Genomic DNA, 23,268 nt, shown 5'->3' on the forward strand with positions numbered 1-23,268 from the left:
AATTTATATAATTATAAATATATCATATAAATATTTATATAATTATAAATATATCATATAAATATTTATATAATTATAAATATATCATATAAATATTTATATAATTATAAATACATAGTATATATAATTATATAATTTATATAATTATAAATATAGCATATAAATATTTATATAATTTATACAATTATAAATATATGATATAAATATTTATATAATTTATATAATTATAAATATATATAATATAAATATGTCAAGAGTAGGATATAGAAATAATAGATTCTGGCATCCAGATAAACTGTTAAGCGCAATTTAAAAACTAGATTATAAATATTTTTTTGCTTTCCTCTAAAATATTGTGATTCAAATTCTAATACGGAAGCATTATAAATTATATATTAGATTCAATCTTTTTAACCTTGTACTATAACCTTGTACTCATATTATGAATAGCCTATTATTTGTAAATGTTTTCATTTATTTCACATAACCACCTTTATATGTAGTTCTGATCTAGAAAAGTCGCAGGGAATGTCATAGGACGTATAACATTTTGCAAAATTAATGCATTTTGATCAACAATATGTAATAATTCATATGGTTGGTGCTACTGCTTAAAACCTTTATGCTACTGCCTCTGGTGATTTTGGGGGAAATTCAGAGAGAACTAAATGAGCACTTAAGAATGAACTTTCAAGTACCTAAAGAAAAGGTCTCTGATTATAATGAATTTCTTTTTGAAGGATTTCTAGAATTTTAGCTCCATCAACATTTGAAAATTTTACGGAAATAAATCTTTAGAAGGAAGAAGGTAAAGTGGGAAACGAGGGGTGGAGACAGGAGGGAAAGGAAACACAGTGAATCCAATATAATATTTACCATCACAACGAGTAAAAACAGTGCACAATTGTCCATACTTGTGTATGATTAGATAGCCTTCTATCATCATGAGTGCATGAACAATGAAAAAATTTAATGCTTAAACAGTATTTACGTGAAAGTCCCTGTGTCTCACGTGTATAATGGCTTAAATGCTGAGACACCTGGGAACACTGAGCAATCAAAAAATACTCAAAGAAGTTATTTTGTCTCAACAACAGCAGCCCAAAACACTTCCAAAACAGAAGATAAACATATATTTTCTCTAAGGTGCAATAAAAAACTTAAAGGGTAGAAATGTAATATATCTGATATATATAAAAATTCTTATTTTGTATGAAAAGAAAAAAGTCCTACCCACAAAGAAAAGGAAACGAATTGAGGAAAATGTGATATAAAAATAGATTATTGCAAAGCATTGGATGGTGAAATCTATTATCTGGATTCCATTCTCTTTTTATTAATTCTGTAACTTTTGTTATAGTTTAAGGTATTTTTAAAATTATTCAGCCTTCAGTGTGCTGAATCCAATAGAGAAATTAAACGTGTGAGGAAGACAAGTGGCACCCCTGACAATGGTCACTTGTGACAAGGCTGGAGATTCATGTGGACAAGGAGGCCACTAACCTGGGAAGCTAAATTAGTTTATTTCCAGTTGTGCATTTGGATTCTATTTGATTCTCTGCCGCTATGTCCAAGAGGCATTTCTAGTGTTTGGCTCATCGACCCAGAGTCACTGCAGAGTAAAAGAAAAGCTTTTGTATTTGTATGTGTTACCATACCAAGCATTATCAGCGAGGTAATGATGAAATACCCGCTTCCACTCACTGGGCAGCTCGTCACCATGGCAACAGATCATTATATAAAGTTCATCAATTCAGCTGGTCATTATCCCAAAGCAGCAGACAGCTAATATGTTAAGGAAAGTTCTTTCTCTTAACTTGTAAACGAGCAAATGAATTAAATTGGTCTTGGCACTGGGAGCTCAATATTACATTTATATAGAAAAGGAGAATTCAGAGAAGAAAAAAAGGTCTTCTTGGCTAGTGTATGCTTGAAAAGGAGAATTTAATTCACTCAGTTACCAGATTCAACTAATGGCTTATTTTTTCCCTGAAAAGGATAGTCAGTCGGTTTAAACTTTCCTGGTCATAAATTAAAAGCAAAATTTTAAAATCACAAAGTATTAATATTTTAAACCATATTCTCATAGCCTGACCCTCTGCATGTAAGTTCTGGAGACCCGGCACTAGGGGATGCAGCCTGCCTTGTTCACTGTGACCCTGTTGGTTTCCAGAACAAAGCCTGGCACATAGTAGGTGCTCAAGCAGAGACATGTTCATTGTGTGGCCTCTGGGGCACAACAGCCCAGGTTAAACTCCAGGCTCCCACAATCACAGGCCGTGTGACCGAGCGCAGATCCCTCATATCTCTGTTGCCTTCTCCCCAGTGCCCAGCTCACAGGGTCGGCGGCCACTAAGTGAGTTTAACTGTATGTTTGTTTGGATGGTACCTGGTACACAGGACACGTTGTATAAGAGTTTGCTGCTATTCTTTTCTTATTAATGTTTAGCTTGTAAATGATAAGTCCTATTCAAGTTTTGTCTAAAATCAGCAAGATCCCTGCTCCACCACTACTCACTGTACATATGCCAGGAGGAGAAATGACAACTCTTTTACAGCTGCTTTGGCTGCCTTGCTGAACAAAACCTCAAAAGCTCCTTGCAGTACCCTAAATCATAAGCCAGCGCTTATAGGAAATTTACCACTGCATTTCCTGTGAATAAAAACCATATTACTTTTAAAACAAGAGTGCAATTAATAGAGCCCTCTGGGTATCCTTTCTAAACTCTCATCTAACCCACAGCTTAAATATAACTCCAATCATTCTGTTAAGGAAGCAATTCAAGTTTCTGAAAGGAAATTACTTGCCTTAGATTTATTGTATCTAAATTACAAAACAACCACCCAGTTGGTAAGGTTGGCAGCCCTTCTCTGACAGTCACCAGGCAGGCATCCAGAGTCTAAATTACCCTCTAGCCCCCAGTGGTGAAATTTATACTGTGTCTGGTCCCATTAGTTGTCAATTGAGATGGTTGAGAAAAATCTATGCTAAGCACTTTTGCACTTTTGAAACATTAATTCTAAAGGAAAAAAAGAGAGCTCTCTTACTCAGTGGAATAAGAAAATTATTTTGTCATTTTTCTCAGTGGCTACATTACACCAATTACGACTAGTGCCTGATGTTCCAAGCTGTTTGTTAGCTCGTTATGAGCTTTCTTTAGGCACTGTCTTATCCATTTCTATGATTTCAAAGAAAACCTGAGGCTGCCATTACTGACCTAAACCTTCCTCTCTGGCTTCAAAGAAGGATTTCCAACCAACTCTCAGGCGTACCGCATGCAACTAGAACTCAGTATACCCAAAACTGGAAACTCAATGTCTCCCCTTTGTATCAAATCTGTCCATGCACCTGAAATCCTGAATCCACTGGCTAGGATGGAATAGTCAATATGACTATCCTACTGTTCAGCTTCATCTCCTATCTCTTCACCCACAATTGCAGCTCATTTCAATGTCTCCCCCTTTCCAGAACACCCCAGGACTTTCTAGATCTGCATGCTTTGCATATTCTGTGCCCTCTCCACCAGGCAGCCATCTCCCCATCCCCCAAGAGCCAGCTCTCAGGCCTCTGGTCCGGGTGGAGTGGGAACCTTTTCTCACCTCCCAGGCCAGCTCAGTTTTTCCAAAGTCTGTGTGCTTATGGAAGGTATTCTTCCTTCAACTAAGATAGTGCATTAAGTCAAACCAAAGAATAAATGTCCATCTTTTATGGGACATAAGCTTTCCTTGGTGTGATATGCTGAGCCTTATCCTTATTCATGACCACCGTCATGCTCTCGGGATACAGTAGGCCGTCAGTTGAGTCTTAGTGAATGAACATATGAGGATTTCACAATTCTAGAATCATGCCTCAGAAGTCAATCTTTAAGCTCAAGGTGGAAATATGTCTTTCAATTTTCCTGGTTATTGCCAAGAAATAGCAGAATAACCATGTTAAAAATTCTATAGGTGTCCAGAGCACACAGGTCACTCCTAACTTCCTATGCACCCCTCTCACTGCCCACTCCACTGAAAGTTGCCCAAGAGGTGAGAAGCTGAAGTGAGATGGAGTGGGGTGGGGATCTGAAAAGGAAGGTGTGACAGGAGGAGAGCCGTAAGTACAGCAGAGTGGTTCCCAAGCTTTATGACTAGAGAAGCTACTCAGGGAGAAGCCTGAGATGGACCTTCCAGGTGCATCCCTGAGACCGTGATTTGGGAGGTCTGCAGTGGGCCTGAGGACCATCGTCAATCATTAACAAACATTCTAGGTGACTCTAACTCAAAGGATCTAGGATTTGACCAACAATAAGGGGCTGTTTTTAGTCCATATCACCAGATGCCAACAGTGAGGTCAGTGATGAAGGAGCTTTGAGTCTTGACTATTCTTTAACTGCCAGGAGCCCTTATGTAAAGGGCTTAGCATGGTGCCAAGGTCAAGGGAAGCACTTTATGTGTCTTCATCATTGTTACCATGTGGGTGAGGGGGAGGAGGATGCCACGGCCAAGGGCCTCCCTCCATCTCAGAAGCTCTTCTTTCCATATATTAAAACTGCTACAGGAAAAAACCAATGGGCAGGGATACTACCTTCAACCTGTGAGTGACAGGGGCTGGATGTACACTGCTTCCAATTTAATGCATGATAAATAGTGTGATTCTTGCTTGACAGATGCAAAATCTGAGGCTCGCAGAGGCTTCCTCATTTTCTGACAGCACCCAGCTTACAAGAGGTGGAGGGAATATTTGACTCAAATGCCCCTGGAACAAAGGCTTAAATGCTCCTCCAGGCCATGTTGCTGTGGCTTGATCCCTTTCTAAGTACTTTATTCATATATTAATCTCATTCTTGTTCTAAAATCATAGTGCATTAACCATTACCCAAAGAGTTACATTTAACACACATTTGAGTCATTCCTTAATGACATCACAAGACTCAGACCCCTCTGCCAAAACTGGAACCTCCTTAAAGTTAAGGATGAAGTATTTGAGTTAGAAAAGATGAAAAAATCCTGGGGGTCTAATGTACAGCACGGAGACTATAGCTAACAATGCTGTACTTTACAGTTGAAATTTGCCAAGAGAGTAGATTTTAAGTGTCCTTACCACAAGAAAAAAGCAAGCAAGCAGGAAAAGAAAGAACAAAGAAAAGGGTAACTGTGTGACCTCCTGGGTATGTTAATTAACTTGATTGTGGTGATGATTTCACAATGTGTTCGCATATTGAATCAAGTTGCAGACCTCAAATATATACACTTTGTATTTTTTAAAAACCCATAATAACCACCTCTTAAGTTTCTCCTATATCTTGAATCTCACACAGTAAGTAATGTGTCCTCTCTCCATGCTTGCTTATTAGTCATGGAGTAATACATATATAATGAGTTTGGCTTTGTTCAGATAGTTGGATGATAGCCACGGCATGTAAACGTGTCACACCCTTGTTTAGTACTTACTAACTGGACTTTCCTTCTAGGAGCAGAACTGTGTAATGTTCACGTGATGCAAAGGACACATTTGGCCAAGATGGGCTTGCTCACCTGACATTCTTCTATCATTTTCCATCTGCTCTTGAACAAATAAAACCCTGGCATAGTCAGACGCTCTCCCACTCTCCTCTCCCTTCAACACATAGAGCAACTTTGGTGTGGCCTCTAGTCAGGACTGACTATTCCTTCAGCTGCTTCATGACAAGGAAGGGCCTCCAGGCTGCTCAGGTCTGTGATGGGCCACTCAAATGACACTGCCCTCATGATAATTACCCACTCAGAACTACCAACTATTTGCCCTAGGACACAAATACTCATTAGTTCATTTGCTCATTAGGTGAATATTTATTAAGAACTTATTTGGGTCATATTCTGGCTTAGCTGCTCTTGCTACAAAAATATCAACTTCCAAAGGTTTTCTGATGTTTGGATACTGGGCTCAATGTCCACTGATTTCCTTCACCCGAGGGAAAGTGTTACTTGCAGGGAATTATTTTCACTGTCAGTATTCCATCTGGGAGGTGTGAGCCACAGTTAATGGTGCATATGAATTAACAAGTCAGGAGTGACAATGCCCCCCTTTTCTAGCCTAAGTATGAACAGGGTCTGTGCATTCTGAGGGCTTTCAAATGCTTCAGTGTCCTACCTTCCATGTCCAGCCTGGTAGGGTGGAGGAACCTCAGCTGTGTGCATGAACATGGGTGACTCATTTGCAAGAAATGTGGAATGAAAAATACATGTGAAACTTTGATACCCAATACAATTCTTGACTTTTGTGAACTTATTTTGAAGTAGATACCCATGCATGTCACTAGTACTTTGTGCCATACTCCACTACCCAACATGTACATGTTATAGGAACCTACTCTTAGATGCAAATATATTAAGTCTACATTAAAAAATGAGAGACAGGACATGCATATTGAAATAGGCTGAATATTTGTGCCCCCCTACCCCCAGATTTAGAGGTTGAAATCCTAAGTCCCAACGTGGTCATATTTGGAGGTGGGGGGCTTTGGGAAGTGATTAGGTCATGAGGGTGGAGCCCTCATGAATGGGATTCATGCCCTTATAAAATAGGTCTCAGAGCCCTGCCTTGTCTCTTTCCCCTGTGAGGGCACAGGGAGAAGGTAGCTAATTATAAGCCAGAAAAGGGTCCTCATGAGAACCCAAGCATGCTGGCATCCTGATTTCATGGCTTTTCATCCCCCAGCACTATGAGAAATACATTTCTGTTGTTTCTAAATCACCCAGTCGACAGTAGTTTTTTATAGCAGCCAGGACCAAGACAAGTATATGATAAAGGAGACCCTTTCATTCACCAACAGTCCTACTGGGGAGTTTCCAGCCATCCTTTGGGTGGTGCCCTGTACAGAGTTTGACATGAAGCCTACACTCTCCTCCTTCCTCGCCCCCAGACCTACATATTGGTTGGGTCAAAAGAGCTGAGAGAAGAAGGGGCTCCATATGGGAGAGGGGTTGGAATTCCTCTGCTATCCTCCTGAAAGAAACAGAAAAAGTGAAAGAAAAGGGGTGAGAGTGAAAAACTAGAATGATGGCAAAAAGATGCCTACACCTCCATCAATCCTTCCTTGTGAACACAGGTCCTCCCATAATCTATTCAACTCACACAATTCTGTCCTTTTTTTTCTTTTAAAACACGCTCTGGGGAAGGGGTTGAGTTGGTGTTTGACAGTGAGAGAAATTCATTCACCCTGAATATCAACAGGATCTGGTGAGCATAAGCCCAAGGATTGGTAACAGAAATGATGGGGAGGGCTGTGGACTTCCTAGGCAGGAAATTGAGAGTCTGAAATATGAAAGCAAACAGCAAACATCTGGAGGGCAGGAAAGGCCCAGTTGGCATCTGAGGGGCAGGAGTGACAAGTTTTCTTAAACATCAGTTTGGAGAAAAATTGTTTTAAATTGGGACTCATGGTCGAGACGACAAGCTGAAAGATTCAGTCACTAAACATGCTCCACGCTAATGATGCAGAGTCCAGGGCCCCCAGCTCTCCAGCTTCCATTGACTTTCCAGTGAGACTCCCCAAATCTTTTCATGGGTGCAGATTTATTTATGATCTATGAGGAATCTCAGGCCAGTTCTTATTGGGCAGCAGGAAAATCATGAGTCTTAACCAATTCATTGCTTTCCCTAACTGGGATGTAGATGGCTGAGAGGGAGCCGGGTTCCAACACTAGATATATGTCCTCCAGCTAAACACACAGGCTGCGGCAAGGGTTCCAGTCAGACAGCAAGAGTCAGAAGACCTGGAGGATGAGAGGTCAGTGCCTGGAGATGGGACGAGAGGGAGCGGGCACCAACTTACAGGGCACAGAAACGGCTCTAATTCTGAGATGGGGATATGTCCTAGGACACAGGACAAAGCTCAGACACCAGAGCAAAGAACTGATCACTTGAGAAGATGTCAAAGGCCAGGTCACTCAAACTGGGTGAAAGGTCAGAGCTGAGCCAGGACAAAGATGAGGTAGCATTGAGCCTGGGCCCCCGAGCTCCTGGCATGCCCTGACTCCAAGGCTGGAAAACTCCAGAATCTAGGGAACTAGAAGTGCAGGTTAAGTGTTAGAGGGTCCCACAGACAAGCTGCCAGGTGAGTCACTGCAGGTCAGCAACTCCATAAAGCCCCAGACAACTGGCTATTATCCAATCCGTGCACAGAGAAATGAATGCTGCCTAGAGATATTAAAAATGCCAACACCGTGTAATCAATATGATTTCTAATTGAAGGAAGATTATAGTTTAACTCAAAGAGCAGCAGTTCCTTGTGACGATTGCCATTTAAAGACAGTTTACCAAGGACAAATCAAGGCATTTGTGGTTGAAACTATTTTTTTCACTATGAATCAGTGTTCTTCCGCTAAGGACAAGGTCAGATTTTTAAAATTAATCAAATGATCACATCATTGAAGGCCTAAATGAAGTTTCTACTCTGACAATTAATCTTGGTGATCACTTCAATACTAAAAATCATAACTTTTTTAACTAAAATCCCTTAACTGTACTTGGGCATTCAAAAAATTAATTACTAAATTTTTATCATTGTCACAAACACATGAAAATTGAAGCCTACAGAAACCTCTAAACTGTTCTGGGTGTGTAGAAATCAAATTCTACCTGGCATAACTGAAGATCACTTTAAAGGATTTTTTACTAATTTCAGACAATAATGCTCAATATTTTAGTTACACATGAGAACAATTCTTAATACATATTTTCTGGTTATAAGAAAGAAATCTTCAGTTTCTTGAGCAAATTTTCCTTTCCTTTCTCTCAATTTTAATTCCTCAAAGAAACATACTATGTATTTAACAAGATTCACTATACTCAGTTGAAACACAGTGGTTATAGGTAGCAAGAAATGCCCTTCTAAACAATGCTTTAATCTCAAAATGGTTTAAAACTTTCAAACATAGCTGAGCTTTCACAGCCTTCAAAATCCAGAATCTGGTGATAAGTGTTCTCTTGGTCAGAAACTTATTAAACGTGTGTTGATTGCTCTTAAATGGGAAAAAAATTCAAAAGCTCTTTACTGCTGTTTCCATATTGTTTCTGTTTTGGGATTAGTCAAAATAATGAAATGGCACTGTTGAAGATCTGAAGAAAGGAGGAATGCACACAGGGACAGATGGCTTGCTGCTTTCCAATAACTCATTCATTCAGCATTTATTTTGCACTTACTACAGTCAGAAAATTCCAGACAGGGAAAGTTGTTTTCTTCACCCGGTTTTTTTTTTTTTTTTTTTTTGGTCTAGAAGAATAACTGGCTACATAATTATAATTTCAGATATTCTCAACTTTAGGAGCATCTTTAGTCCATTCAGGGTGCTATGACAAAATACCATAGACTGGGGGGGTTATCAACAACAGAGATTTATATCTCATAGTTCTAAAGCCTGGGAAGTCCAAGATCAGGGTGCCTGCAGATTTGATGTCTGGTCACAGCCACTTCCTCACAGATGACACCTTCCTTCTGTGTCTCACATAGTGGAAGAGGTGAGGGATCTCTTTGGGATCTCTTCTATTGGGCACTAATCCCATTCATGAGGAATCCATCCTCATGACCTAATCACCTCCTAAAGGCTCCACCTCCAGATACCCTCACATTGGGAATAAGGTTTCAACTTATTTTCAATCTGGAGGGACACAGGCATTGGTATCATTGCAAGAGGGCTGGTTAATGACAGGCTCCTTTGATTCTTCAAACAAGGTCTCGTTAACACATTGCATGTCCTCAGCTTCTCCAAGGAAATGTTGATCTGATGAGTAAGACAGGATCGTGTAGGAACAGCATTGCCCCTAGGGACATAGCTCAAAACATCATTCCTTTCTTAACATTATGAAAACATAACATTATGAAACTCCACAGCATCCTTTGGTAACAATTCTGTTTAAACCCCAGAAAATACCATACTTAAGAAACGTAGTGTTGGACTTCTCTAGGTTTCAAAAAGGAAAGAGAGATGAAAATATTATAAACCAATAAATAATGGAGCAGATTTTTAGGCTGTGTTTTGAAACAACCAAAATAAAAGTAATTCTGATGTTACATCTCTGCAAGTGACAAATACTGTTTTTCCCATGCCTGGGACAAGTATGCAGTTAGACTTGGCCATTGTCAATAATTGCACCGCTGTAAATTACAGCTTACTGCAGACATTCTGGTGAAAGGAAATGTTCTAAGTGTTAATTTGCTGGGAGATTTGAGGCGAGTTTTTTTCCACTAATGACTTCCAGGTGGGAACTGCAATATTGACAGTTGCACCTTACTTCCTACTCCCAACCCTCTCTTAATCCCAGATATGTGAAATATCTTCCTTCTGTTCCTTAAGGTATCTTGGTATCCTCATCTTCTCTGCAAAGGCTTTTTTGAAAAGATGTGGTGAGGTACCTTTTCTTCCAGTCACTCTGCTTTGTAACAACTCCTGGAGGAAAGTTCGTCTGTAACACCATTGTTACTGCTATTTTATCACGCACTGGAGGATGCACCCATTCCTTCCATGTCCTTCAGAATGCACTGCTGTCTGTTTTAGAATTTAATTACAGAGGTCAAGGCCTAAATGTGCTTAGTAATGCCTGGTCATCATTGCCAGGCAGGGGCCATCTATACAAGTTAACAAGGATGACAGGATGTGCTTAGATCCAAAATAAAAACATCAGATACTCAAAGCCAAGGCAGAAAAAAAAGTCCTACAAGGAATTTGACTTCTATGATTAGCTGTGCTTCCACTTTGCACCAGTAAATACAGCCCAAGCAACCTCACTCCTTCAGAAAGTCTCTGCTACCGTGCCCTTCATGTTAGACTACATCATAATAGGAAGCTTTACTCTACAGACCTTTGAAGGCGTAAGAGACGACAGCTCTGTGGTGATCTGAGCTTGGAGTCAGAGAGGTCTCCCTGAGCAAAGATTCCATTTGTTAACACATCACAGCAGAATCAAATTATTCCACATTTTATGGTTCTAAGAAGTATTTTGTTTTCTGATTTCACAGCTTAGAGAATGACTGTGGTGGGCCAGGTGACAGGAATTTTATATATTATTCTAATATTCAGCAGCAAGTGGGGGTGTGGTAGAGTTCTAAAATTCTGCTCCCTGCATCCCCAAAGGAATTGCAAAGGTCATCCAGATCCCGTGTGTTCATGGAGGGTCAAGTTACTCCCAAGCAGTGGATACTCTTTTCTTGCAGGATTCCTTAAATTCTCTCAGTGGTCCTTGAATAACTGGGTATCAGAGACACAGCATGCCCTGGGACAGAGATGCAGTCACCTCACTGCCTGTATTTCTGCCTCCAGTTAGGCACATGTTTATGCCTCCAGTTAGGAAATGAACACCCATCCCATTGGCAGTACAAAGAAAGGAAAGAAAGAAAGTGCAGAGATGGCTAGAGGGGTGCAAGCAGAGATGGCGGTGGCCCTTACACGTTTAACACTGACAGGTAGGGGTTTGGTTTGTTCACTGACTTGATTTCAGTTAGTGGGAAATTACCCTTTGAATGCCATACAACATATGGCATCTTCCTTTTGTCCTTCTCTTCTACATTCCAGAATTTTTCTTTTTCATTATACACATTTGCTCATGGAGCACTTGCAAAAATGGAAAATAACTCCGTTTGGTGGAAGCACTTCAGCCAGGTCTGGATAACTAGATGTAGAGCAAATAACCAACGTAATTACTTGTGCAGCTCAAACCAGAACAATTTCTCCCTTTAAATAGGAACAGCCTCGTAATTGGAGTCCTAGCTGTTTGCTCCAAGGAAAACCATTTTACATTTAATTTTAAACTTTCAAAATTAAAACATATTTAGAGGGTTTTTGGGGGATGAGAATAAGAGGTGTCATCTGTAAGACAGAGGGCATCTAATAGACCTCCTACCATAGGCAGATTCCTAAAACAGTCCCTATCATTCCCAACCCCTGGTGTTCATGTTCTATGTAGTCCTCTCTGGTGAGTATTGGCCAGACCTATGAATATGACAGTGTGTCACTCCTGTGATTAGATCATGTGACATTGCCACAGTGAAGGAATTCTGCAGATAAAAGATTACAAATAAGTTAATTTCAAGTTAATCAAAAGCTGGATCATCTTGGATGAGCCTGACTTAATAAAGTGAAAAACCCTAAAGGGAAGACTGGGCCTCTCTGAGAAGAGAGGCTCTCCTTGCTGGTTGCATAGAGTAAGTGGCCACATTGAAGAAGGGTATGGGTGGAAAGCTGCAGGTGGTCTTAGGATGTGAAAGTAAACTCTGCCAACAGCCAGGACAAAACTAGGGCCCTCTGTCAACACCATGAGGAAATAAACTTTGTTAATGAACTGAATAAGCTTGGAAACTGACTCCTCACTAGTCAAGCCTTCAGATGAGACTGCAGCCCTAGCTGGCATCCTGATTGCAGCCTAGTGAAACCCTGAACGGAGGACCCAGCTAAGCAGTGCCTGGGGTCCAGGACCATGGAAATTGTGAGCTAATAAGTGTATGATGCTTGAAATTGCTAAGAATATGATAATATGTTGTACAACAATGCAAGAATAACACATCCTCTGAATACCCTATTTAACACCTTGTTGAACTGTGTGTGAAGCCCAGGGTCCCCTCTGAGGTTAGCTGTCCTGCTCTTGTTGAAAAAAGGGGCCCCAGTTCTGGCAGAGGTGACCCAGTTCCTATTCCCAAAGCTGATGGTGTCAGAGGTTGGCCCCTGACCCAAGGATGGCCACTCTGCCAGCTGACCAGCAGCCTCAGAAGTGGCCTAGCCTGTAGCATGTGGCACATTCAGGATAATGGTGATCTGGTATTCAGGTCAGACTCTCCCTCTCAGGAATGTGAGTTAAAGAATGCACAGATGGGTGACCACTGATGGGGCAGCAGAAATATGTATCCTTAAAATATACCCCATTGCTTAAAATAACCCAAGGATTTCCTCACTGCCAGAATAATCTAATTGAAATTAGGTAGAATTTAAATAGAATTATCAGATAGGGACAATAATAAAGCCCATGCTTACCCAGCATGTGGGTGCCACTGTAACTGGACTGCTCCAGCAACACAACAGAATTAATCCCATAAACAGACTCAGAGGAGCAGGAGCAGCAGTGATCACAGTTGATTCATTGGAGTGACAGTACTTAAATTCTTCCTATTTGGCCAGATGCATAGTTACTTAGAAACCAGAAAACTGGGGCAGTTATAGGCTGCTGAAGTCTCTTTGGAACCTGGTTACCCTAAAGAATTGACTTCAGGGTGCAGGTTACAGAAAATGAAGGTAGAGGACAAGATGAGTGCTTTAAATGATGGAGTCATTTCAGATGTTCTTCTAATTGCAGGTATAAAGACACAACTGTGGGAAACAGTGATGTTGACTCTATCCCAATATGCCTGAGGTTCTATGAGGGCAGGTTGTGTTCCTGACATAGCCTCATCTGAACATTTGGAGGGCTTCATTCTGGTGGAAATGTATGTGTATTTTCTGTTGATATGCATTTTCTGAAGTCAGTGCCTTGACTTGGCCTTCGTTGAAGATTGACTTGTTCATCTTTGTTCACAACCATGGGTGAGTTCCACGCAGGTCCTGAGAAGCCACCAAGGCTCATCTCCATTGTCTCTTCCCAAACTGGGGCATCCCAGGATACTCCTAGGAGATGCAGGCCTGGGCTGCTGCCAGGTGACCCTAAAAGACATCCTGCATCTCACAGGTTACTAGGGTTATGTGGATTTTGACTTTGAACCCAGCCTTAGCACCCTATTAGAACTCTAAAACTAAGCATGAGGATACTGGAAATGGACACACGGGGACACATGTCAAGAATCACCATCCAACAGATGAAATGGATTAGCTTTCGAAGACTTAATTTTTACATATTTGTCAGTATAATTTCAGTTCTATCTCTGATATCCATAAACACCTTGGCAGAACTTATAATAAATTGGAATTTACATGACAGTACATCAGATAAATTGAAACCTTCAGCCTGCCTCATTCAAAACCAACAAAATTGATGTCTCATGGTGACAGAACTTGGATTTATTCCTCAAAAAAAATTTAGTTGGTAAATGCTTCTTATGGAGAAAATAATTTTTAAAAAACTACCGAGAATCTCATTATCCAAGTTAAATCACCAGCAGAATCTGCTCTTAAATATTTGTTTAAAAATATTCTCATCAGAATATGTTGAACAAAGGAAACACTTTCAGTTATGTTCAATTTGCACACTTGGGTCTTACAAAAGTGAGCTCCTGAGTGAGGAAAAAAAATGTATAAGCTCTCTTTCTTTTTTTTTTCTCTCCTTTTTTTTTTTTTTTTGTTGAGATGGAGCCTAGCTTTGTAACCCAGGCTGGAGTGCAATGGTGCAGTCTTGGGTCACTGCAACTCCATCTCCCGGGTTCAAGTGATTCTCCTGCCTCAGCTTCCTGAGTATCTCGGATCACAGGCACATGCCCCCACACCCGGCTACTTTTTTTTATTTTTAGTAGAGACAGGTTTCACCCTGTTTGCCAGGCTGGTCTTCAACTCCTGACCTCATGATCCGCCTGCCTCGGCCTCCTAAGTGCTGGGATTACAGGCATGAGCCACCGCGCCCAGCCAGATAAGCTCTCTTTTAAGACATGCCAGTATTCTGTATAGATAATAGTTAAAAAGTGTTGGTAATGATTGTAAAATATGTTTTACCACAACAAATGATATGGATGAAGATGGAGGAGCCATTTAATTGAAAGCCCTTAGTACCTATAAAGACCTATGTTCTTATCATCAACTAGAAAAGTCCTTTGTAAAAACACTTGCAGATTCGTCATCAAATTAGCAGTCAAGTGGGTCTTCTCATAACTGAATTTTCCAGGATAAATATCTGTTAAAAATTCCTAAGCCTGTGTCTACATTATATACTCCAGTAACTCGTGTTCTACATTAGACATGTCTCATGAAGCTTTCACGTAGAAAATGGTTTGAATGTCCCTCTGTAGAAGTAGAGATTAGACTTAGCAAAAAATAAGAAAACCTGGGGCACTGAATCAAGATTATGAAAAATCCTCGTAGTTATAATACCATCATCTCAAAAAGAAACAATACTACCCTAACTGGGTTTTTGTATAAGCAAGAGGACAGCAGGTTTGGGAACAGGAATCCACTGGGCTTCATCTCCTAGCCACTACCATTAAACCTGAAGGAGTTATATCAAAAATTTGTATCAGGCAGGATCTGTATGAAAAAAGGTAAAGATAAGCAATTTTATTTACTTATGTATTTTTTGTCCACAGACCACAATTTTTACTACTGAGGGCAACTTCCAGTCAATACTAATCATGTGAAACCTGAGAGGAAAGTCACCTGTCTCAGGTGGGTCCAAAGCAAAGCAAGGTGGAGAGGAAGCAAGAGACCAAGAAGAAAACAGGAAATTTATCTGCTCCATGAAGATGAAGTTGGTTGCATCCTATTTAGAACATACTGGGAAATTTACTAATTCATAGGTTATAACTTCATATTATTTTGTGGTTGGGAGACCAGGCATCAGCTACTAAAAATATTCAGAAAACATGTTTAAAAGCTAAACACATTAAAATACAAGAACTAATGCTCCCACATTTAATCAAACAAAACAATTAGTTGTTTTTATAGCATTTTAAGTGGTTTGGCATATACTAAATTATATTCAACACTATTTTTTCATTTTAATCGGGCCTAAAACAAACTCATACTAAAGAACTAATTGTGTTCATGGAGTTCAGGGAGTAGGAGAAGACCAGGCTACTCTTTAAATTTGACTGTAAGAGCAGATGCAGTGTGGCAAAGTCTACCCAGGTATATTAGTAACCTAGGGGTGCTGCAATAAAGTACCATGTTCTGGTGGGCTTAAAGCAGCGGAAATGTATTTGCTCACAGTTCTGGATGCTGGAAGTCTGAAATCAAGGTATCAGGAGAGCCATACTTTCTTAAGAATCTGGGTGGAATTCTTGTCTCGTGCTAGTTTCTGAGGGCAGCTGTCCATTCCAGGTGTTCCTGGGCTTGCATTTGTGCACTCCAATCTCTGCCCGTGTTATCACATGGCATTCTCCTGGTTTGCCTCTTTTCTCATCTTACAAGCACACCAGTCATATTGGATTAAGGGTCCACTGTACTCCAGTATGACTTCATCTGGACTTTACTAATTACATGCTCATGCTCAAAGGCCCTATTTCCAAAGAAGGTCAAATAGGGTACTGAAGGGTTAGGAATTTCAACATACCTTCTTTGGGAACACACTTTAACCCACACCACCAGGTAATTGAGTTGCTATTGGTTGCTGCAATTATTCCCTCAGTAAATGAAAAATTCATTAAATGTTATCAAAGAAGCACTCAAATTATGTAATGTACCCCCTTCAGTTGATGGGAGCCCCTTACATAAAGAAGCACACGTAATGCAAGTCCAGACTTGGTTTGGATTTATAATTTCTGGTGAGAAGGACAGAATTTGGAGTGAATGTAAAAAAAAAAATTCCAACATGATAGTTTTTCACAAGTTAATACTTGTTCCTGACACTTAGATAGTTGCAAATTGCTTAGAAACATTGAGTGAGATAATTCTCAGGAGTGATGGCAGCCGTAAATGTATTAACTTAATTTCTGGTACCCAGAAGGGTATCCTTGGGGTCTCTAAAGTCTTATGTATGTTGGACAAAGGGAATGTCAAGTTCTGTTCCTCACTCAGCCTTGCCCTACTTTTTTTAGATAGGAACCTGAAAACCTTGAAAATTAGGTGCTAGAAAAAAAAATTTGCAGGGAGAAAAGAAAATTAGAAACAGAATTTTAGCATTTGTTGAGCTAGTTGGCCACTATCACTCTTGCAGAAGAAACTTCTAGAGTACATAGAACATTGTTTGTCTTTTCTACAAGTTCATTTGGAAAGTCATATTGATCTCCTGACTTTAAAAAATGATTCGTAGCAAGCAACCATAAAAAGATACTCCTCTGTACTTAAAATGAGTTTGGAAGGGAAGAGTGAGAACAGGGGAGGTCCCTGGTTACATTTCCTCCCTGGTGCTCAGGGCAAAGCTAAGTGAAGGTGACAGGCATGAGTCTCAGGCCCCCAGGTACATCAGGGCATCTCCGCTTTTTTCCCTGAGGTTATTCTGACCTCTGCCCCCAACCCTTGTGCACCTCAGAACCTCCCCAACTTGGGGACCCCTCTTTCTTACTCCCTCATTCTTCCTCCTTGGTGAAATGATGCCCATTGGCAGTAGTAAATATTTAAAAGCCACATTCATAGGTTCACAGGATCTAACCTGTACTGAAAACAGTCAAAATTGCATGTGCCAAAACCCCAAAGTCCTTACAGGTGGAATTCCATCTTTACCTAGTATTAATACCCTTCAAAAGCACTAAACAGCATGGACTTCAGGTGCTGCCCTTAGAAACTATTCTGTTGTTGCCTTTCTCACTTCTCCAGTGGCTGGTTTTTCCTCAATTGGCAGCCCCCCTGGCACCCCACCAAACACACACAGTCACGCCTCCTTCCCCAGCTCACACCCTCTCTTGGTTCCCTTTGGTGCTTTATTTTGAGGCCTAACTCAGCCCCTCAGCCAAGTCCTCTCCTTCCCCTTGGCTTCTCAGCCCAGGTTCTAGGTCTGCATCTTGGAAGATTGGGGATGGGATTGATAGAAACACGTTCCTCTGAGGTCCGGAAGGGATGCGACAGTGAGTATGTGGAGATGGAGAGGGGGGACTAGAAACATTTACAGATGCATTTCCCCATGACAGGTGCAAAACTGTCTGCTGACACCCACAGGTAAAGTACCCTTGCCAACCCCGCATGGTACTCGATTCAATCTGCTGTCTCCCCCAACCCCCTGCCCCATCTCACTCCCAGCCGCAGAGTCCCTCATCTATTAAGAAGTTGTCTAGATGGGTATCTATTTCCTGACCTCTATCTCCTCCTCAACTCACCCCAATCTCTCTGCACCCCAATTTTCCATGAAAGACAGCACAACTTCCAACTTTAATGGACCTGTTTCTCTCCGCACATTGCACGTTTCTTCTTACCACTGAAAGCCCTGCCTCCCCCATCTCATCTTCCTGTTTCGTTTTTTCCTATTTAACATTTAATGCAACTGCTTGTTTTATTGCTTCTGCCCCCCACCCCAAAAAAAAATACGCTTCCTGAGGACAGGGTGTCTGTCTGTCTTGTCCATTGCTGAACCCTCTCCAGTGAATTTTGGCACAAAAACTCCAGTGTCTTCTTTTCAGCAAAGGCCACGAGAAGTATCAACTGTCCAAACCAAAAACATCAGGAGTCATTCTTAATTGCACCCATTCTCTCACTCCTCCAAAACACCTGCTGCATCTGTCAGCTTCTCTTCAAGAAATTAACCAAGAGCAGCATTTCTCAAACTGATAGGTGTTCCATTATCACTTCTACAAGAAGACTTCTCACATTTTTCCTGATTGTCCCCTCACCCATGAAATTTTACTACAGATATTCTGTACTGTATATTTGCTTGTATAGTCCATGTCTATTTGAATAAAAATAAGATTTTTTGTCCCCCTAAGAACCAATGTTTGCTTCATTGAGGGTGACATCTGCCTATCTTCTGGCTGAGCATGCCATGCTCACCTCCTCCTAGACCACCTTGATGACTTCAATAGCTTTGACCCCAGCCTACTCTTCCTTACTCAGTTACAATGCAATGACATCTAGAATGCCTGCTTATTTTTATACAATGGCGGATCCTGTAGCAATACAGTACTGTTGGTTTAGAAAGAAATTGTACCCCAAACTTTACCCTCCTTCTACCCTTTTTGTTATCCTCTGATTAATTCTCCAGGATGTATAGATAGTAATCTTTGAAAACATGCATCATATCATGTAACTTCTTTTCTTTACAGAACTTTCAGTAATTATTATTATGCTTAGATTAAAATCTGAATTTTTAAACATAGCTAGAAGGCACATATTAGCTATCCCTGCCTGCATCTGGAGCCTAGAAACTCTACAGGGTTGAATGAACTCCAGGCATTGTTGGATCTCTTACTGTGGTTGCCTAGAAAACAGAGGGAAGGATTCAAGTATTTGGTGCTAATGCATTACTGGGGGTGCAATCCCAGGGCTGTGTGGTGAGGGAAAGGAATAGGGAGCAGGAAAGAGCAGGAAGTGGTGCTATATGATTTGTTACCATGGGGCTCTTCCTTTATGATGAAACAGAAAGAGACATCTGCTTGGCTACATGAGAAGCCTGCCCTTGGACAGCCGCCTGGAGGTGAAAATGGAAGGGGAATTCACCAGTTGCGTTCTGCCCATACCCGACATCCCTCTGGGTGAGGCTTGCTTCATGGAGAGTTCATCCTCCTGCACTTCTGGGCTGCAGCTACCAGCTCTTCCAGCACCTGCTTGAGAAGCCATATCCCACTCCCAGAAGCGTGCGATCTCATCCAAGCCCAGGTGCAGCAACAGCGCCACAGACGCCTGACCACCAGCTGCTCAGCATCAACTGGAGGAACCTCCTGGTCCTGCCCAGGAATCTGTCAGCCACGGGGGCAGCTGAGGCAGAGCAAATGGCCAAGGGTTCAGGGTCAAGTAAGGCTGAGAGAACCTGCGGTTGAACTTACGACCTGACCAATGAGCGGTCCTTCTCTGTTGTCTGAGCTCATTATGCTCCATTGCACCCCAGAGCCTTGGCTCACGTGACACCTTATTGCTTCTTCCTCAGATAGTAAAATGGGTCCCCAACACCTCACTTGCCCTCTTTCCACAACGTCTTTCCTGAGGTTTTTGTTCTGATTTTCTTCTTTGGCTAGCAGCCAAGGTTGTCTGTTTTTGAAGTAGGAATCACAGATACATTATCCCTAAATTTTCCATGTACCTTTATTTTTGATGGAAAGATTAGCCTAGAATAACATTCTTGAGTCACATTTATTTTCCTCTAATGTGTGTATATATTGTTCTACTTGAAATCTGGTATTGAGTGTTCCCCTATTTTGGTTTTACTTTCTCAAACCTTCTCTCATCATTTGGCTGAATTTAGCCCCTAATTAGTCTTATTTCATGTTTGTAAAAGAGATTTTTGGTTTTCTATTCCTTGAGATTTTCATTTTTGTGAGTGTCTGTTTTTTTTTATTCTTGGATGAGTATAACATGCTCAATTCACATTTTCTTTTTCTCAGAATATTGCATAACCATGTTTCACAGATTTATACAGCTGCAGAGTATCCTGAGACCATGTGATTTTTTTTCATTTTTAGTTTTTTTTTTCCTCCTCAATACCTAAATAATTATTTCTGTATTCTTGGAATTTAAAAACTTACCTGGCTAGTGTTCCTTTATTCTGAATTAATATTGCACAAATACAGTATGCTTTGAAATTTGCAGACTCAATTCTTCCTTTATTGCAGGGTAATTTTCTCCAATAGTGTCTTTGGGCACAAGTTTTTAGCTCCACAGACAGGGTTCTTTGGTTCAAAGACACCAATCACTCTGTGTGGTCCATTGTCTTTGTGGGTCCTTCATATTTAAAACCTTATCTTTTATTTCTACATTTTCCACCTTAATCACTGCAAACATTTACTCTGTGTCTAAGCTTTAGCTGTGTTTTTGTTTCCATGAAGTTTCTAATTTAATTTTTACTCTTGTAGTAGAATAGCACGTCATTTTGATCTTCTATTTATTCGCTTATCTCTGTGAACTTCCTTTTCATCTCATTTTGTTTCTTTCATCATTTCAACTCTGGGTACTGACTTTATTTACATTTCTCTCCCTTTTTTTTCCAAGCAAAGTAACTTTGTGGCACATGTCCTGCTCCTGCTGGGATGCCTTCTATTCCATTTGCTTTTCTGTAGACTGAAGTGACAGGACAGGGATGCAGAGAAGGAAGCTCAGCCCAGGCTCCCTCTTTGTTGAAGGTCTTGAGCCTTCATATTTTTTTTTCCTTTTTGAGACAGCATCTTACTCTGCTTCCCAGGCTGGCGTACAATGGTGCAATCCTAGCTCATTGCAGCCTCAAATTCCTAGGCTCAAGCAATCCTCCCAACTCAGCCTCCAGAGTAGCTGGGACTGCAGGTGCTCACCACCATACCTGCCTAATTTTAAAAATGTTTGTAGATGTGCAGTTCCACTATGTTGTCCATGCTGGTCTCAAACTTCTAGCCTCGAGTGATTCTCCTGTTTTGTCCTCCCGAAGTTCTGGGATTACAGGTGTGAGCCACTGTGCCCAGCTCTATTTTTTGAGATTTCTATAAATATTTCATTCCACAATACAATTAACCTTGGGGCTAGGGGAAGAGAAGGAAACAGAGGTGATAAACATGGCACAATCTCACATGAGTTCAGCAGCTAGAAGCATATAAACCTCTATATGAATGTTTCCTGCTTTATATTCATCTATTAGCTGCCCCTGATTTTTCTATGTAAAATTTTGCAAGTTTGAAATGAAAAACAATGATTCAAAATGTGTGTGTGTATGTCTTCTTCCTTTACATTTCTTTAGTGCCTGATAGGTGTTTTTATATAAATGTTTATGAATTATCCTCTAACTAAAACAATTTATAAAATATAACACAAAAAGAGATCACATTCCTTTTAAAAAATATATTTATTGAGATATAATTTGCATGCCATAAAATTCACCCACTGATTTTTAGTATATTCTGAGTTGTGCAATTATTGCCACAATCTAAGCTTAGAACATTTTAAGATTATATACAATTTAAGGTTCAAATGCTTTTCTAAACACTAGAATTGAGTTAAAGTGAAAATAAAAATGATATATCTCATCCTAGAAGGGAGAATAGAAAGCCCAAGACTGAATGGCATTGTGGGGGAGGGAGCATAGAATTAGAACAACCATGGCCATGCTGTGGAAAAAGCCCAGAGCGGCAGCCACATGTCTGGACCAGGAGTGCATGTGGGACTGCGAGGGACTGTCACAGTGGTGGGGAAGAGCCAGTGGAGAAGTGTTTCCAAGTCAAGTAAGGGAGAAACTCCCAGAATACCTGATTGCTCAGCATGACCTTAATTTTGTCTTTGTAGAGAACTCAATAGCATATGAGACTCCGTCACTAACAGAACTCCAGTCATAAATATTCTACCATTTCCACTTGACTCTGGCTCTGAGAAAATCTTCAAAAACCAACTTACAAAATATTAGCACAGTCATGATTCAGATAACATGCCTGGCCCTGGGTGGATGGACACCAGGAGAGATACAGGGCAGTAGCATGAAAATGGACCCAGAATGTATCTGGGGAAGACTGCTGACTCAGCATAGTGGCAGCAGTGGGAAATGCCACCAAAGAGGCAAGACGCAGATGAACTACACCAGCAAGAGAAGTCTAGCTCACATGGATCTGTAGACAATATGGACAAATAAAATAAACTGACTTTTCAAACAGCCATTGGCTGGTTTCCTCCCATTTGCATGTGTTCATGTAAAATCAAAGTAAAAGAAAATACACCTACCACCAAACCTGGATTCCCAAGCCTGGAAGGATATCAAACTGATTCTGCAAGTAAGGTAGGAAGGACTCTAGCTTCACATTCATTAGTTATGAATGTCTTACCCATGCTCTATCAGTTGATAACTCGTTTAACTCCTGGATATGGTATAGCAAGTGCACCCAGACTGAAAGGACTCTAGCATGTGTGCTCAATATCAGATTCTTTTTTAGATTTACCTTTTTAATTGTTTTAATTGAAACATATTAGATATATATATTTTCAAGGTAGATGTGATAATTAGATACATTCATATAATCAAATCACAGTAATTGAGAAATCCATCACCTAAAATATTATGTTTTCTTTATTCTAGAAATATCTGAATTATTCTAGATTTTTTTCAAATATTCAATCAATTAATGTTAACTACAGTTGCCATACTGATCTATTGAACACCAGGTCTCACTTCTATCTATGTCTGTATCTGTACCCATTAATCAATCTCTCTTTATCCCTCCCGCTTCTATATCAGTTTTAAAATCAAATGAGATGAATTTCCCTGGTTTGCCTTGATGTAACTACTGGGGCTAGTTATAAATAAGAGACCGGAAAAACATCAGCTTTTTGAATTCAAAATGTCAAAATCTCTAGTCTTTAACATTTCTGCTTGTTGGGGGTTATTTGGCTCTTAGAGGGTTAAATTAAAATGTATATTATTATACCTTCCAGTATTCAATTCCTTGGACATAAAGACTGTATGTTAAAAAAAAATATCCCTTAAAACTGAATATCATTCTTAATTAAAATCTGAAAAAAAGACTATATCTCCTTCAAAATATATTAAACAGTGCTATAAGAGTAAATGAAAAGATCCACAAGTTAGTTGAGACA

General features: G+C 40.3%; 1 protein-coding gene and 1 long non-coding RNA gene across 12 annotated transcripts in view; one reads left to right on the plus strand and one right to left on the minus strand.

Annotated features, from left to right (window-relative positions):
* The window catches only part of SEMA5A (semaphorin 5A), a 511,043-nt gene that overhangs the window by 129,038 nt on the left and 358,737 nt on the right, over positions 1-23,268 (minus strand). The gene's annotated exons all lie outside the window — the stretch shown is intronic.
* LOC124901170 (uncharacterized) lies at positions 14,247-22,334 on the plus strand. Its single transcript, XR_007059120.1, has 2 exons — positions 14,247-19,386; positions 21,970-22,334. It is a non-coding gene; the product is annotated as an uncharacterized LOC124901170 (long non-coding RNA).

This window comes from Homo sapiens, chromosome 5 (genome assembly GCF_000001405.40).
Source record: "Homo sapiens chromosome 5, GRCh38.p14 Primary Assembly".
Lineage (NCBI taxonomy): Eukaryota > Metazoa > Chordata > Mammalia > Primates > Hominidae > Homo > Homo sapiens.